The 17127-nt window shown below is 53.1% G+C and overlaps 2 protein-coding genes across 7 annotated transcripts; both read right to left on the bottom strand.

Annotated features, from left to right (window-relative positions):
* C1QC (complement C1q C chain) lies at positions 4897-9372 on the bottom strand. Of its 4 annotated transcripts, none has more exons than NM_001347619.2 (3): positions 9119-9372; positions 8801-8994; positions 4897-5778 (listed from the first exon to the last, which is right to left on the bottom strand). In NM_001347619.2, exons 2-3 carry the CDS (start codon positions 8979-8981, stop codon positions 5222-5224), a joined length of 738 nt encoding a protein of 245 aa, NP_001334548.1. In that variant the 5' UTR covers positions 8982-8994; positions 9119-9372; the 3' UTR covers positions 4897-5221. The 4 variants fall into 4 exon arrangements, with proteins under 4 accessions (NP_001334548.1, NP_001107573.1, NP_758957.2 ...); NM_001114101.3 differs by having other exon boundaries at positions 9268-9372; NM_172369.5 differs by having other exon boundaries at positions 9291-9372.
* C1QA (complement C1q A chain) lies at positions 13327-16542 on the bottom strand. Of its 3 annotated transcripts, none has more exons than NM_001347466.2 (3): positions 16145-16542; positions 15226-15395; positions 13327-14172 (listed from the first exon to the last, which is right to left on the bottom strand). In NM_001347466.2, exons 2-3 carry the CDS (start codon positions 15386-15388, stop codon positions 13598-13600), a joined length of 738 nt encoding a protein of 245 aa, NP_001334395.1. In that variant the 5' UTR covers positions 15389-15395; positions 16145-16542; the 3' UTR covers positions 13327-13597. The 3 variants fall into 3 exon arrangements, with proteins under 3 accessions (NP_001334395.1, NP_001334394.1, NP_057075.1); NM_001347465.2 differs by having other exon boundaries at positions 15226-15415; positions 16303-16377; NM_015991.4 differs by having other exon boundaries at positions 16303-16377.

Here is a 17127-nt window from a genome sequence, read left to right as displayed (position 1 = left end):
ACGCTGTCCTGGGGGAACATCCACAGCTCACCCTCCCAGGCTCTCTGACCTCGTGATCTTCTTCTACACTGGGCAGGGGTGTTCCTCAGTGAGCATCATGTGGCGGGCCCGCTGCCTGAGTGCTGGCTTACAGTCAGAGCCTTTGATTCCAATCCCGCCTCTGCCACTTGCCAGTTGATGTGTTGTCAGTCAAGGGAGCCCCAATTTTCTCTGCTATAGGATGGGACCATAATTGTACCTGCTCTACAGATACAGATCTCACAGGCCACTGGGAGGATAATGGAGGAAATGATGGGGGAGGAAGTGTCTGGGGGTAAACTGTAAAGGGCTGTGCACGTGTTCATTGTTAATATCACTTCATGTCCCAGGCTTCCCCTTTCTGGGCTCATCTCTTCTGCTTCCTTCCCATTCTGTGCCCCTGCTCTTTCCCTGTTCTCAGAAAATAATCTCATAATGAATTTTAAATGTGTTCATTATTTATTGATACCCCTCCCTCTGCTTCCAGCAGGGCTGGACGCTGATGACAATAATAGGCCCAGGCAGGGGCCTGTTGCTTCTTCTCGATCCTGGAATCACGCCAAGTTAGGGCCGGAGAGGGGCTGAGGTTACTCGGCCCATCCTCCTCATTTTATATACGAGGAAACTGAGGCCCAGAGGGGAGACCCACCATTTAACAAATATTTAGTGTTTGCTTCCATGTGCACTGAAGAGAGAGCTCTTAGCAAATCAGCCATGGTCCCTGCCCCCATGGGGCCTCCCTTCTACGGGGGGAGACTGGTGTTAAACACGGAATGACATGAGGCTTCATTGCTTCTGTGATAAATGTCACAGAAAGACGTGACTGCTGGGGCCGATGCCTCATGGAGGTGGCAGATGCAGACCTGGAAGCCGGCATCCCTGGCACTAGGATATCAGTCTCTCCCTGTGGCTGCGTCTCAGACGACATGATGACTAGCAAGCACCAGGAGCTGGAGGCCCTCTTGACATCTGTGCTTGGAGATGGAAATTCACTGGGCTTGTGGATGCAGCTTGGTGGAAATTAAGTGTTAACTGCAATGGGTGAACAGGAGGGAAAGATAAGTTTGATAAAACCAAAAGGTCTCTGAGCTCAGTCAACTATAGTCCCGAAGGGACCCAGGCTAGGGTGAAGAGAAGAAACACTGGATTCCACAAAGGGAGAAACGAGTTAGTAGGTTGCAAGTTGAGGGCTTCTGAGCATTCCCAAAGCCGAGTGGCTCTGGGCCTCTAGTTCTTTTTTTTTTTTTTTTTCTTGAGATGGAGTCTCAGTCTGTTGCTCAGGCTGGAGTGCAGTGGTGCGACCTCAGCTCACTAGAACCTCTTCCTCCCAAGTTCAAGCGATTCTCCTGCCTCAGCCTCCCAGGTAGCTGGGACTACAGGTGCATGCCACCAAGCCCAGCTAATTTTTGTATTTTTTTTTAGTAGATACAGGGTTTCACCATGTTGGCCAGGCCGGTCTCAAACTCCTGACCTCAAGTTGATCTGCCTGCCTCGGCCTCCCAAAGTGCTGGGATTACAGGCGTGAGCCACCATGCCCAGCCTCTGGGCCTCTAATTCTTAGGTGGCTAAGGGCAATGGGAAAAGATGGATGTCAATTTGGGGTAGAAGCAGTGAGGCTAAGAACAGGAAGCAGCAGAGGTGGGTTAGGAGCACGGACTTTGGCAGTTTGAATCCCAGCTCTTCGTCTTGCTAACTATGTGGCCACGGGAATGTTTACTGGCCTCAGTTTCCTCGTGTAGAAATGGGAAGCATGAACGCCTATCTCCTGGGGCTGTTTTGGGGGCCAGCGAGGTCCCCCTGCCATGTCCAGGGCCAGGTGAGTGCCCAGCCCTTGGTGGGCACCCACTGCAAACATGGGAACGGTATTACTTATATGAAGAGAAGATGGAATTCTTGGAACCCAGGAGCAAAGAAGCCATGCCTGGATTAGGAGGAGGCCTGGACTTGGGGATCAGGAGCTGAGGGGTCCCTGGGCCTTGACCGCTAATGGGAGCCAGCTGGTCTCTGTACCTACAAAATTTTGGACTCACATCCCTGATTGAGAGTGGAAAATCCCTGATCCCTGCAAAGAGTGGAAAAAGAAACCTACACCCCCTCACCTTCCTGTGGTTGGAAAGGGGTTCCTTGCAGCTTGGGGTGTCTTGTCCTGGCTCCTGCCCCACGTCCACCCCTCCTTGCCTGCCCCACTGAAAAACTCTCCCCCGCCTCCCCTCAGCAAGGCAGACACGTTGGCATTTTCAAAGGCTTGCCCCCCTGATGAAGAGAGAACAACAAGGAAACAATTATGGAAAATAAAAATGGCACAAAATTGTCATTTCCAAAGTACAGGTTTCTGATATGACACTGTGACCTACATAAATGGTGTATTGATTTTTTAAACAAAAGAGAAATGAGAAGAAAGACATATCACCCACAGCTTCGCCCGGCCGACAGCTAAGGGGTTGGTGGAGGAGAGCAGTGGATGCTGTGGCCGTGGCCTTCACGCTGTCCCCGCCGGGGGCACTGGACTCAGTGAACCGTCCAGGTTCTTCCGCCCCTGCCTCCTGCTCTCCCACTGTGTATTTCTGTATGTGTATGTGTGTGCATGTGTATGTGTGTATGTGTATGTATGTGTGTATGCGTCTGTGTGTATATCTGTGTGTACATGTGCATGAGTGTCTATGTGTGTATGTGTGTCTATGTGTGTGTCTGTGAATGTATGTGGATGTGTGGATGTCTATGTGTGGGTGTCAATGTGTGTGCATGCATATGCGTGTGGGTATGTGCATGTATATGCGTATATGTGTGTTTCTGTGTGTATGCATATATCTAAGTGTTGTGTGGATACTATATGAGTGTATATGTGTGTGTATGTGTATATATGTGTATGTCTGTGTGTATGTGTATACATGTGTGCGTGTGTATATCTGTGTATATAGGTATATTTTTGTATGTGTATATGTGTGGATGTCTTTGCATGTGTCTGTGTATATATGTGTATAAATATGTGTATGTGTATGCATATGTGTGTGTCTGTGCATGTGCCTATATATGTATGTGTATATGTGTACATATGTGTGTATATGCATATATGTGTGTATGTATACATATGTGTGTATGTATGCATATGTGTGTATGTACATGTCTTTACATGCATGTGTATATGTGTGTATGTGCATATATGTGCGTGTGCATGTGTGTGTGCATGTGTGTGTCTTTCTCTCCCTCCTTCCCATCTTACACACTTTTCATGTCCCTGTTATGTGCCAGGTATGTATGGAAGGGGCCCTGCCCCCACGATTCTTACAGTCTAAAGGGGAGGCAGACCTGTAAGTGACTAAGTGCACAAAAGCTAGTTGGTGGGCTGTGTGCATCAGATTCCCCTGCAAACCGCCAACTCATTTACAGCCTGGGCTTCTCCAGACCTTTATAAAGCAGCCTGGAGTTGAGAAATCTGGTTTTGTTTGTTTTATTTTGTTTTAAATAAGTCTTTAGGTTAATTTTATTCACCATCTGATTTGGGAACCTGGGCTCTAAGGAGTCATGAATTTGTGCCCAAATTTGTGGAGGGCACTGTGGGGACCCAAGGGGTAAATCGGAGAAGGCTTCATGGAGGAGGTGATGTTTGTGTTGACTCCTGACAGTTGAGTGAATGAATATCATCCAGGTGGATGGATGATTTGCATGAGTGGGAGGGACTGCATGGGCAAAGGCAGGGAGGTGTGACACAGCCCCTTTCCCAAACAGAGGAGCCAAAGTGAATGGAGGTGGTTGTAGAACTCAGCTTGAGCCACTGCTCTTAACAGCCCACACCTCAGATGGCTGGTGCTTCCATGACTCCGTGGGGCTTTGTGGAACCAAGCTGTGATCACAGCCAGGACAGGCCAGGTTCTCCCAGGCTAGAGTGAGCCTCGAGTCTGACTGGGTGCTGAGAATTGGACCTGGAGCCTGCATAGGAGAGTTAGACTTTTTATCTTTTTGTACCTGCAACATCAAATTGTGGGCTTCCATCATCCTCCAAGAAGGACCATGGTGGCTGGATCCAACCACCAGCAACCTCACAGTCAAAACTTGATGGCCGGTGGGCAGCAGTGGTTTCAGATCTCCTGGGAGTCCCAGAGTCTGTGAGTTATTTGGGGCAAGTCAGACATCTGGGAGGCCAGTTTTCTCTCTCTGTCTCCCCCTCATGCCCATCTCAGAGCATCTAGGCACAGAAAAGAGAGCTCTTAGCAAATCAGCCATGGTCCCTGCCCCCATGGGGCCTCCCTTCTACGAGGGGAGACTGGTGTTAAACACGGAATGACATGAGGCATCGTTGCCCCTGTGATAATGAATATTAAATGAGTTAATATGTGTAACGTGCTTAGTGTAATGGCTGGCATACACTAAGTGCTCAATAAATGTTAGTTATTATGATTTTTATTCATTCATTCATTTACTCTGCTTTTAGTTATTCACTTACCCACTTATGCAATAATTCATTCACACCAATTTCTTATTCATTCAGCACAAATTCATTGCACATCTTGCCTTTGTCTGTTCTGGGCTTACCCAAGCCCAATTTCCTCCCATAGTAAATGCTCCTGAAGTTCAGCACAGGCCCAGGAAGTCAAACTGACTCCCATTTACCTGTGGGCTTGGATACCTTTAATGATGGCAGTGCCTCTCCCCCAAAAAAAGTGACAGCAGATGATCCCTTGGGGACCGCTGGCAGCATGTAACCACACTTAGAACATCTCTCTCCCACCAGGCCAAATGGTGCTGAGTGTCCCAACACTGGCAGCCAAGCTTTCCTGAGCACCAACCAGATGCCTTGAGTCCAGAGCCCAGCTATGGCTGATGCAAAGTTGAAGATCCGAAATTCAAGGAATCAGCAATGAGGAATCTGAGCCAGGCATATGTATTGATTTCATGATTTATTTATATATCTCCCCACCCCTTCCAATACTTGAAAAAAAAAAAAAAAAGAATGGCAGTACCAGAAGGCATTGGTTAAGTGTCCCAGGAACCACACAAGCAGTGACTCCTAAAGAAGTTCAGAGGAAGGAGAGAACCCATGGGGAGGGGGTGCAGTGGGGGTGGGTCAGGGTGGGCTCCCTGGAGGAGAAGTCCATCTGGTGGGGAGAATGGTCTAGGCAAGGATGCAGACTGGCCAGTAAGGTGGGTCCATGCAGGAAGCTGAGGGAGGTGGAAGGCCCGTGGGGCTCGAGCGCATCTGCCCGCCCTAGTCGGGGAAGAGCAGGAAGCCGGAGAAGACGCTGTCAGAGCCCTGGATGCCCACCATGTCGTAGTAGTCATTGACAGCCAGCCACACCTCCTCGCCCACCTGCAACCTCAGCAGCACACCGCCCGAGTTGACCTGATTGGTTTTGGACGTGTGGCCACAGAAGGTGACCACTTTGACGCCGCTGCGGTACAGCAGCACGCACAGGTTGGCTGTATGCGACGCGTGGTAGACAAAGTAGTAGAGGCCGGGGACTTTGCAGGTGAACTTGCCAGTGCTCGTGTCATAATCTCCCTGCGGGTTGGTGAGGACCGCGTTGAATCTGATCAGGCTGTTGGGTGCAGGGGGCTGGTGGGTCTGCCGAGTGACCGTGAACACTGACTGGAATTTCTGCTTGTATCTGCCCTCCTCACCTGGCTCTCCAGGGATGCCCATGGGGCCGGGCACCCCTGGCATCCCAGGGGGTCCCATGGGGCCATTTTTCCCAGGATGGCCGGGTAAGCCGGGTTCTCCCTTCTGCCCTTTGGGTCCTCGGATCCCGGGAATGGCTGGGATTCCTGGAGATGGAGAAGGCAGAGAGAAAGTGATAGGGTGGGGGACAGGGAGGAGGGACCCTGAGGGTGTCTTCCAGGGAACACAGCGCTGGCATTTGGTCTCTAGAATCTCCTTCTCATAGATGGGCTATCTCCCTAGGAGCAGGGTGCAGGGAGTTAGGCTTTGGCTGGAGGGGAGAGAGAGAGTCTGGTTCAAGTCCTGCTTCTCCACTGACCTGCCCTCTGACCTTGTCTAAGGCACTTCCCTGTCTCTTGGCCTCAGTTTCCACATTTGTGATGAAGCAAGTAGGGAGCTCAGAGCTGGGCGGGATCACAGATGCCATGACTGTCAGCCCACGGACAGATGGCATGTGGCCACAAGTATCTTGTTTGGCCTGCACAATGTTTTTTAAAATTTTTAATTGGAGCCCAACATGAACAAATTCAGAACTTATTTAAAATTTGAAATTCTCAGACCTTCTTGACAAAAAATCAGAAGGTTGGTCAGAGGCAGCTTAAGTTTCAGGTTCTGTCCACTTGCATCAGCCCCTTCAAGACCTTTTGCCTAATTTTGTATTTCTGATTTTTTTCAACTTTTTTATTTTGAAATATAGAGTCAAAGAAAGTTGAAGAAACAAAAGAACAGGGACTCTTCACCCAGTTTTCCCCAGTGACACAGCTTGTATGACTAAAGTATAATGTCAAAACCAGGAAGCTGACATTCCTAGAATTCACAAAGCTTATGTAGACTTCACCAGTTTTATATACACTGTGTGTGTGGTTCCAATATAATTTTGCTACATGTGTAAATTTTTGTAACCACTCTCACCTCTGCAATCAAGCGCATCTTTCAGTTTGTATTATTTTTCATAAAGAAGACCCTCAACATTTTACAAGCTTCAGAGTCCCACAAAACCTATATCTGCTCCTGAGATGGATTCCCCAGGTTAGCACATGGGAACCACTGGAAGGAGCCGAATAGAAGCCGCCCCACTGCAGGGCCTGCTCTCTCCAGCTCACCCCAGCCCCATTCAGCCCACGTCAGCCCCCATGACAGCTGGCCTGGTTCAACTTCCCTCATGTTGCCGATGAGGAAGCCGAGTTAGAGACTTGCCCAAGGCCGTGCAGCCAGTTTGAGGTGGAGTCAGGTCTCTAACTCAAGTCTGGAGAATCCCAGTGTCTCACTCTGTTCCAGCCCTGATGATCTGAGCCTCTGTGAGATTCTTCTCCCCTTATCTAAATCATACTCATCTTTTAAGGGCTGACTCCAGTTTCTTCTTCCAAGAAGCCCTCCTTGACCGCTCCCATCAGCCCTCATGTTTCCTTTCCTCCTCTGACTTCCGTCAGGCTGGGTGACTGTGCAGACCCATTTATGACAGATCCTCTATGGCTTATGAACCTCTTAGGCCTCAGCATTAGGAGTGTGGGGTCGGGACCCAGCAGACCTGGCCTTCACATCTGTGACCCTGGGTGGGTGACCTCCCTCCCTGAGCCTGTATTTGCTCAGTTGAGATACGGGCATAATAGAAGAGGGAGTCCCTGAAAGGGTGGAGTGGGACAGGCACTGTGCCAGGCACACCATAGGAAGCGTGCTCTGGAGTGTCTGGTCCTCGTGATGGCTGCCAGTGATGCTGAGCAGAGCAGCGTCTCATCCTTCGTGATGTCTTCAAACCACCAATTGAGAGGGGGCCAGGAAACAGCAATACAGAGGGGACTTGAGAGGCAGCTGAGGGCAGTGGTGGAGAATGTGGACTTGAGAGTTGGACAGGATCCCACTGTGTGACTTTGGACAAGTTGCTCAATCTCTCTGAACCCCAGCTTTGACATTTGCAAAATGAGGGTCAATCACTTTTTCAAGGGATTGTGGCCTCGGTTTTATCATTTCCTAAAACTGAGACCACACCTGGGACTTGGGGGCTCAATCACGGGTGGCCATCAGCTACCCTGGGCAGGGAGGTGGTCAGAGGCAGCTGTGAAGTACAAGCTCCTGGAAAATGGCAGACCTGGAGGCCTCATTGAGCTTTGAGCTCACCCTAAGCTCACCCTAAATTGGAGAATTCCTTCTGGAATGTTGGTGCCATTCCCTCTATCCAGGAGGGAAGATGATGGTGGGACCACTCCTAAGGACATTCCTCTCAACTGGCCTCCCTCCTTTCCACTGCCTCTGTCACCCCATCACCTCCGCTCAGTGTCACCCCAGGCCGGCTCCAGGCATGCCTAGCATCTGAGACGTGCCCAGCTCACTCACAGACAAGGCACTCATACCCCCCAGGGCTCCAGTTCCAGCCCCAGTCACCCATTCATAGCCTCAGCCCCCTTCTCTTATGCCAAGGATTGCCTGTGGACCTCCAACAGAAGTTTCTCTGGCTGCGATCCTGACCTCCTACTCCCCACCCCTCCAACTATCCAGAATCCTAAGGAGGGAGGTGAGCATGGATATCTGATAAAACCAATGATAAAATAGCCTACACCTGTATAGACCTCCCAGGTGCTCAGGGCTGTTTTATATTTAAGTTAACTTAATCCTCACAGCAACCTTGTGAAGCAGGTGCTACCATCTCCTCGTTTTACAGATGAGGAAACTGAGGCACTGCGAGGTTAAGTAACTTGTGCGGGTTCACATAGAGGGAATCAGTAGGGGCTGGGATTTGAACCCTGGCAGTCGTGCATTGGATATATTCACTGTGTGGGCCCCAGCTTCCCCAGGTGCCCATGTTGCAGGGCAAGAAGACTTTCCCTGCACTGTCTCCTGTGAGCCTCCTGGCCACCTTTGGGGGCAGGCGCTCTTATTCCCTCCCTATAATCGGGTAAGGAGGAGAAGGAAGATGGAAGTGCGCTGGGCCCAAGGTCACCTCTGGGGTGGCCTGAAGCCTGGGCTCTGAGGATAGAGGAGCCAGACACACCGTGAGAGTCCACCTCTGCCCTGGGGCAGGCGTGGCAGCAAGGCAAGCACTTCCTGCTGTCCCCCGCCCCCTTGGTCAGCCCCAGACAGACACTCTGATCCCTGCCCCAGACCCAAACCCCCAAACCAGGCCAGCAGACTCACCTGGCTCCCCCTTGGGCCCCGGCAGTCCGTCGTACCCATCCTTCCCTGGTGCCCCGGGCAGGCCGGGCATCCCTGGGATCCCGTAGCAGCCTGTGTTGGCTTGGCCCCTGAGGGGCAGCAGCAGCAGGAGCAGCAGCAGCTTCAGCCCAAGGTGGGGCAGGGAGCTGGGCCCCACGTCCATCCCGGAGAAGGAACTGGGAGGGAGAGAGCTGAGCTGTCCCCGCCAGCCCCTCACCTGCCCCCAACCCTCTCATTCCCCAGGGCCCGTCCTCCTCAGCCCTCGGGAGCTCGCCTTCCTTCCTCCCCCAGGAGCCTCACCATGGATGGATGGTGGGGCCTTTTCTTCAGCCCAGGCCCCGGGGCCCAGCAGGAGTGGGAACCCTCCTTCCCCTCACACACCAAGCTGCCCCTGGCACCACATTTCAGGAAGGTGGCGGAAGGTGGAGGAAACGGCCATCTGCCCATACCTGGGCAGGGGTCCGGGCCTCACCTGCAGGTGGGCGGTTTCTGGCCTGGCACAGAGATGTCCTCAGATCTGCTTCCCCTCTCCCAGGCAAGAGGACACGGTGTCTGAGTGGTCAGAGCAAGGATTGCCCAAAGCAGGGCTGGGCCCCCTCCCCTTCTCGTGCCCTCCCCCAATCCCACATCCCCTTTCCCAGAATTTTCCCTGACTTGACACTTTCTTTTGGGTGCTGAGCCAGACTGACCACAGCAATACCCCATCCACATCCCCCCACCGGCAGTCAGTGTCCGAAATGAGGAACTGTCCCCTGCCCCAGCATCTGGCTGAGGGTGTGTGTGTGTGTGTGTGTGTGTGTGTGTGTATAAACACAAGCCCCCAGGGCACAGACGTCCCCCAGAGTCAGGTTCATCCCATCTAATGACCAATGTTAGCATTTGCTTTGCCTGAGACTCAGTTTTCCCAGAATCCCTAGGAGGAAGTTATTATCCCCCTTTACAGATAAGGAAACAGGCTCAGGAGGATGTACACCGTTGCCCAAAGTCACACACTGAGTGGTCTCTTGGGGCCCAAAGCCTTGCTCTGACCCCTCTGCTCAGCTGCCCCCAGAAACAAGCCTCACATGCACTTGTCAAGTTGCAAGCCTTGTTCTAGAAACTTCCATGTGCCCCATCCCAGTGGCCACACTTGGAGGTGGACCCCCAGGATGGACCCGCTTTGGCGGCAGGCAGCTGTTGTGGTGCACGGGCTGCCCTGGCTACAGAGCCAGGGCCCTGGCTTCTCCTTCCAGCCCTGTCACTGCATGGACCAGATGCCTTCAGCAAATCACTGGTCCCTCTGGCCTCCCTTCTGTCTACTGGGGTGGCCTTGGCTTTCAGTATTGGTGCCTCTTCCTTCGTTGGGGCACCTGGTCTTCCCTGACGGTTCCATCTTCCCTGCCAACACCACCCTCCTTGCCTGCATCCTGGGGGTGCCCTGCCTCTGGGCTTGGAGCCCACCATGGCTGGTGAGGGGCTCCCCATCAGGACCAGGCTGGCAGAGCTGAGAGGCCTTCTCCCCTCTCCCTCTTCTCCTCACATGAGATTCTAGGGATGAAGGGGCTGTCAGGCAGTAGCAGGGCTCCAGCCTCGACCCCACACCTGCCACCTGTGTCCATTGGTTCCCCCTCTGTAACATGGAGGCTTCTTACAGCTCCAGGCCAGTGGCTGGGATTCAGTGCACAACACACGTGTGATGCCTTGTCCCGTGCCAGGTATGGGCAGGTGTTCAGAGCTCTTCCCCTGCCTCACTGAGGAACCCTCAGGGTCTCAGTCTCCCCTTCTGTGTCTCCACCACGTGCCATGGGACTGCAGAGAGTGTGGGGTGAGTTAAGGGGCATGAACCCACTTGGCCCTAGGAGTCCCTGGTGGGTGGAAGCCTGGGCCGAGAAGAAATGATGGATACTGCATTATGGGGCTGGGGGCCACCCAGCCTAACGGCTCTGGGCTCCTCTCCTCCCTCTTCACCTCCTCTGCGCCTGGGTTCGGCTTGTCCAGCAGGTGGCAGCCTCGGCCCACGCTCAACCCTCCCGTGCCCCGCCCACTTGGCCCCGCTCCGGGCAGCTCCAGTTCATTCCCCTCCCAGAGGGGCCAGAGATTTTGCATCGGGGTAGTGGGTGGATGGTGGGGTATGGGTAGGATTTAGGGTAAGGGGGTGGCCGGGCACTCACTGCACACCCCATTTCTCTAGCTTGGCCTCTACTGCCGCTGATGGAGCCTCCACCCCTGGCATTTTCTTTGCGTGCCCTAACCCTGTGGGGTCAGGCACCCCTGGCTCAGCCCCAGGGCCCTTCCCCTTTCTGGCTGTGTGTCCTTGGGTGGATGTCTGCTTTCTCTGAGCCTCAGTGTCCACATCGATTTTGCTGGGATTAAATACATCAATGGCCGTGGAATGCCCAGCACGTTAGGTTCCCGAAGACCTGTCTCTTTTCCCGGTGCCTGTGAAACAGTGTGTGTTCTGGGTGAGCGAGGCGGGGGGAGAACAGGGCTGAGCTGACTCTGGAAGGGAGCTGAGGGCTACCCTGAGGCTGTGGAGGGTTCATCCTCTCCCTGGGCCCCCCTCACTTCTTCCCGACCCCCAAAGCCTGTTGGCAGGGCAGGGGCAGTCCCAGGAGGGGGTCTTGTACTTTAGAGGTGGGTATTCAGGTTGTGCACTCGAGGACCATGAGGCCATTTGTGCATCTGGCAGTGGATGGGAGGGACAGCCCGTGTTTCTGAGGATGGCCCTGTGGGAGTTTGAGTGTATGTGTGGGTGGTGGGGGGTCCGTGTGGGAGAGAACACAGGCATTCTGAGGCTCGTGCATGCTGGAGTGAGGAGGATGTGTGTCCCCGGGTGAAAGGAGTGTGTCTGGGACACATGCGTAAGAGAGAGAGAATATGCGATGGTTCATGGATGTTACTTGTATGTCTGAGGCAGGGGCTGTGTGGTATGATGGATTGTGCCTCCCTGAGTGTGTCTGTGGGTGTGAAGGCATAACTGGTGTGTGCGTGTGTGTGTGTGTGCAGCACAAAGCTAAACCCAGCTTCCTTTGAGAAACTGCATGGTGCATTGGACATTTTCAGATCTGAACTCCTGGCCCCCTTATTTCTCCTGCATTCGAGGGACAGGGTGGGGTTTGCTGCTTCATAGTAGCTTCCAGACAGACAAATAGGGCCCTGGAATGCACTGTGAGCATTCAAGACTCTCCCAGCCCCCAGCCTGGGCGGAATGTCCATCAGGCAGCAGAGGCAGCAGCCCTGGTCTCCACACCTGCCAGGTGGAAGCCCAGGGCTGGACTCAGGAAACCTAGCTTCAGGAAGGACTGCGGAGTGCCCTTGGGCCAATTGCTTCCCCTCTCTGATTCCTGCCCCTGCCTTCCCAACACAGGGTTGAAAAAGCACCTGTGTGATGTGTCATGTGCTTCATAGAAGCCAGGGAGGCTGGTGAGGGTAGTGGTTAAACACAGGCTTGGGCATCAGTAAGACTTGGGTTCAAATCTCAGCTCCTTCCCGCCTCCCCACCCTCCAATTTTTTTTTTTTTTTTTTTTTTTTTAAGAGATGGAGTCTCGCTCTGTCACCCAGGCTGGAGTGCAGTGGCGCGATCTCAGCTCACTGTAACCTCTGCCTCCCTGATTCAAGTGATTCTCCTGCCTCAGCTTCCCAAGTAGCTGGGACTACAGGTGTGCGCCACCACCCCTAGCTAATTTTTGTATTTTTAGTAGAGACAGGGTTTCACTATATGTTGGCCAGGCTGGTCTCGAACTCCTGACCTCTAGTGATCTGCCCGCCTTGGCCTCCCAAAGTGTTGGGATTACAGGCGTGAGCCACTGTGACTGGCCCCCAGATCCTCCCCTTAGATGCTGATTTGCTGATTGATGCCTACTCCTCGCAGCCTCAGTTTCATCATCTGTAATGTAGGGCCATCATACCATACCCAGAGCTTGGTCATAAAGATTAAATAAAATATAATAATAGCAAAAATTTCCATAGCCCTTGTTATAAACTGAGCACTGCTCTACAATTTTCATATATTAAGTCATTTAATCTTCCCAATGACCCTTTGGGATCATCAGTCCCACTTTACAGATGAGGAAACTGAGATCTCAGAGCTGGGTTAACATGCACATGATTAGACAGCTAATAAGTGGTGGCATCAGGATTCGAACCTGGGTAGATGAGGCTGCTAGGACATGCTAAACACATCATGTGAAATACTAAGAATGGGCTGGGCGTGGTGGCACATGCCTCTAATCCCAGCACTTTGGGAGGCCAAGGCTGGAGGATCACTTGAGGTCAGGAGTTCGAGACCAGCCTGGCCAACATGGTGAAACCCCTTCTCTACTAAAAATACAAAAAATTCACGGGGCATGGTGGCAGGTACCTGTAATCCCAGCTACCTGGGAGACTGAGGCAGGAGAGTTGCTTGAACCCGGGAGGCGGAGGTTGCAGTGACCGAAGATCACTCCATTGCACTCCAGCCTGGGTGACAAGAGAGAAACTCCATCTTAAAAAACAAAAAACAAAAAAACATACTAAGGACGGGCCTGACTCTTAAGCACTGGATTGTTATTATTCTTAGGCCTCCCTCTCAATGCTCCGAGTAGCAACTGAAGCTCATGTTCAGCAGACACAGACACAGATGTTTATTCCAGGAAGAGGTCTAAGAAACGAGCTTCTTAGAGCATGTGTCACGGGGCAGCCAGTCCTGGGGCTCTCAGAGCCAGCCCCCTCCCTTCAGCAGCTGAAGCAATAGCGCCCCCATTTTACAGGCGGAGCATGGAAGCCAGAGAGGTGGGTGGGGGAGGGGGTCCTTCCCTGGCTCAGGCAGATGGGAAGATGAGGAAGCCGCTGAAGACGCTGTCGGCCTCAGAGCCCTGGTAAATGTGACCCTTTTTGGGGTCTTTTTCAACCCAGACCTGGTCACCCTGCTGCAGCTGAAGCACCATGCCCCCTGACACCACCTGGAAGAGCCCCTTGTTGGTGGTGTCACAGAAGCCCAGGGAGCGTCGGACCTGGCCCCTTGAGGAGGAGACGATGGACAGGCAGATTTCCCACTGGGACAGCACCTGGAAGGTGAAGTAGTAGTAGCCGGGTACAGTGCAGACGAATCGGCCGGAGTGGTTCTGGTACGGTTCTTCCTGGTTGGTGATGACCGTGTCGAAGATGACCACGTTGCCCCCCATTGGGGGGTTCCGCCGAATGGCGGAGAAGGCTGGCCTCGGCTGGTCCTTGATGTTTCCTGGGCTGCCCTTGGTGCCTTTAATTCCCGGGATGCCACGGGCTCCGAGGGGGCCGCTGGGCCCTGGGTAGCCCACCTTGCCGGGGTTTCCAGAGGGCCCAGGTTCCCCCTGGTCTCCTTTAAGGCCTTGGATGCCTGTCCGGATGCCAGGGGCCCCTGTGGGGAGAAATGCCAGATTGGAAGTGAGAGTCCAATGCCTACTGGTCCTCAGGGAGAGAGCTGGACCCCCTGAGTCTATGGGATAAAGGGCAATGAAGCACCTGGGCCTTCAGGACATCGATTCTGATTGGCTGTGTGACTTTGGGCAAGTGTCTCAACCTCTCTGAGCCTCCACTTCATCTGTAAAGTGGAGAGAAGTGTGAACAGGCACTTGGGAAAGTGTCAGGTTCTGGGAAATGCATGGAACTCTGGCTGCTCTGCTGTGTTCCTGCCCAAGGCTGAGGACTTCATACCCCTCTGGGGCACTGACCTTGACTTGGCTTCAGGTTCAGGTACCACATGTAGGATGCCCGGATGCAAATTACTGCAAATGTCTATGTGATCCTTCTGGTCTGCTTTGGACTAGGAGGCCCAGGGTGATTCCATGAGACTCCCTTTCTACTTTGGTCAGGACCTCTTCCCTTTTCCATTACCCCTGGCCTTTCTTCTAGAATGTGAGTCTCTGAAGCCTGAAGGGGCTGGGGAGGGGGAAGCAGGGACAGTGTTGGGGGTGCTGGAAGGAAGTGAAGGGACAGATTCAGTTATTTGATCCCTCTCTATGTGCCAGGCAGTGTTATTTTTCCATTTTACAGATGAGCCCACTTAGGCTCAGAGAGGGCCAATAACTTGCTTGAGGTCACACAGCAAGGCAGTGGCTCCTGAGTCTAAACTCTGAGTCCTCGTTTTTCTGGCAAGAGAAACATGAACAAGGACTCAGCATTGCTGCCAGAACTTTCACTTTCACTGGTCAAAGCAAGTCATTCTCCAGAGGGGGAAGGTGAAGCCGAAGAAAGAGGGCCCAGGCAGTACACAGGGAGTGGAGAGGCCTGAGGACATGGCCCGAGAAGGCTAGGCCTCCCTTAGCCCCTGTGGCCAAGTACAAACTGGAGAGGATTCATGGGGCACTGGGGGCAGACGGACTCCTGATTCTCAGTGCCACCCCAAGCCTTCACCCTGGAGGCCAAGTCAGGCCAAGGTCCAAGGGGCTGGGTCCCGAGGAAGGGTGCTTACCCGGCTCCCCTTGCTCCCCCTTGAGGCCTGGCCGCCCCCGTCTGCCAGGTCTTCCTGCCTCCCCTTTCTTCCCGTCTGGTGCTCGGCACAAGTCCTCGGTCACCATAGAGGCCAGCGATATGGCCAGCACACAGAGCACCAGCCATCCCCGGGGACCCTCCATGATGCCTCTGTGGAGACACGGGAGGGCCTGGGCAGGTTGGACATCACACTCACACCCAGCTCCCACCCTTGAGTCCCATGCACACAATGATATATGCACAGTCCTCCCCAAGTGCACATGCACCCTCTGGGGCTCTCAATGTCCACTCTCAATCCAGCCCCAGGACCCCACGCATATACACAGAACCACAAACTCACACACATCCACACATGCAACAGAGCACACCCACATCTTCACACACTCACACAAACACAGCTCTCATCCACGCACCTACAAAACACAGTAGGCAAACTCAGAAATCCACTATACCCCCCTAGACACACAACTGATACCCAAATAGACCCTGTCCCTCACTTGCACGGACACACACATTCATACACTCCCACAGGTAATCGATTTCATTGAACAAATATGTATTGAGCGCCTGCTCCTTATTTAATTAACACTGGCTCACCCAGATGGTGGAGCTCTGCATACACACAGGAATTCACAAACGCCCAAAGCGACACCTGCTCACTCTTCTGCATGCTCAGCGCCTTTCAGCATCCACCTGAGCATGGGTGACTGGCTGCCCCTACAGTCCCCTCTGCTGGGTCCCACTGCCAGCTCTAGCACCCCAGGCTTTTCCTGGTTTCTTATGTGTTATGGGGCCAGGACCCAGGAACCCTGGTCTTACCCTTCAGTTGTTAGGTCTAACTCATCGCCTCTCACCCTCCCCCAAGCCCTGGCTCAAGGAGTTAAGGTCCCTCCACTCACCCATTCTGGGTCCTGGATCAGTGCTGCACCCCCATCCCTGTCCTAGAATCAGGCACAGTTATTTCCCTCCCTCCCTGCCTCAGCTGCCCAGCCTCCTGGGCCAGCTCCCCTGGGTCCCAGAACTCTGCAGCCCCCTCCCTCTGGGACTCTGGCCTCACCTGCCTCCTGTTGTCAACTCCAACTGGATGCTCCTGCCCTCCGCCCAGGGACCCTGTGGGCTGCCCAGCAGGAGTGGCTCCAGGCTGTGGCCAAGTTTCACATCCCTTCCTACTTCCCCTTCTTCAGACCTGCCCCCTGAACTTCCCCAGTGGCCAGAAGCTCACCAGGGACATTTCAAGCAGACTTCAGCAAGACTGGGACATTGGGCGTCCTGCCCCAGCAACAGCTGGTGTGGGAGTGGGGGCAGTGAGGCCAGTGCCTGTGAGGATGTGGGGTGGAGGCCGTGCAGGGTGAGGTTCTGAGAACCAGCGAAGCACAGAACACCAGAGCGGAAGGAATCTTTAAAAAAATCTGTCCCTTGTAGGACTTTTCATGATTATGAAAGTGACATGCAATTCATTGCCAAAAGCTTGGAAAATACAAAGAAGAAAGAACAGTGCATTGGTGAGAAGGAAGCACAGCAATCTGTTTCTAGACTTGCTGCTTCCTAGTTGCATGTCTTTGGGAAATTACTTGACCTCCTGAGCCCTCAGTTTTATCTGTACACTGGGAACGGGGTCCTATATCATCTGATTATTATAACATTTTAATGACTTGCACATACAAAACACTTGGCACATGGTGAACACTTAGTCACTAGCTTTTGCCAACATTTAAAAAAACAGCAAGTCTAGGTGCTTTGGCTCACGCCTGTAATCCCAGCATTTTGGGAGGTCAAGGCAGGCGGATCACTTGAGGTCAGGAGTTCGAGACCAGCCTGGCCAACATGGTGAAACTCCATCTCTACTAAAAATTTAAAAAATAGCCAGGTGTGGTAGCATGCA

The sequence above is a fragment of the Homo sapiens genome, chromosome 1 (genome assembly GCF_000001405.40).
Source record: "Homo sapiens chromosome 1, GRCh38.p14 Primary Assembly".
NCBI classification, from domain to species: Eukaryota; Metazoa; Chordata; class Mammalia; order Primates; family Hominidae; genus Homo; species Homo sapiens.
Note: the sequence above shows the minus strand (reverse complement) of the source record. Positions and strands in the feature narration are given on the sequence as shown.

Bases quoted from the DNA above. Each gene is read 5' to 3' on its own strand.
- C1QC (NM_001347619.2), bottom strand. From the start codon at position 8,981: ATGGACGTGGGGCCCAGCTCCCTGCCCCACCTTGGGCTGAAGCTGCTG. The intron at 5,779-8,800 runs GTGAGTCTGCTG...CTCCATCTCCAG, and splicing joins GGGGCCCAAGGGGGAGCCAG to GAATCCCAGCCATTCCCGGG.
- C1QA (NM_001347466.2), bottom strand. From the start codon at position 15,388: ATGGAGGGTCCCCGGGGATGGCTGGTGCTCTGTGTGCTGGCCATATCG. The intron at 14,173-15,225 runs GTAAGCACCCTT...TTCTCCCCACAG, and splicing joins GGGGGAGCAAGGGGAGCCGG to GGGCCCCTGGCATCCGGACA.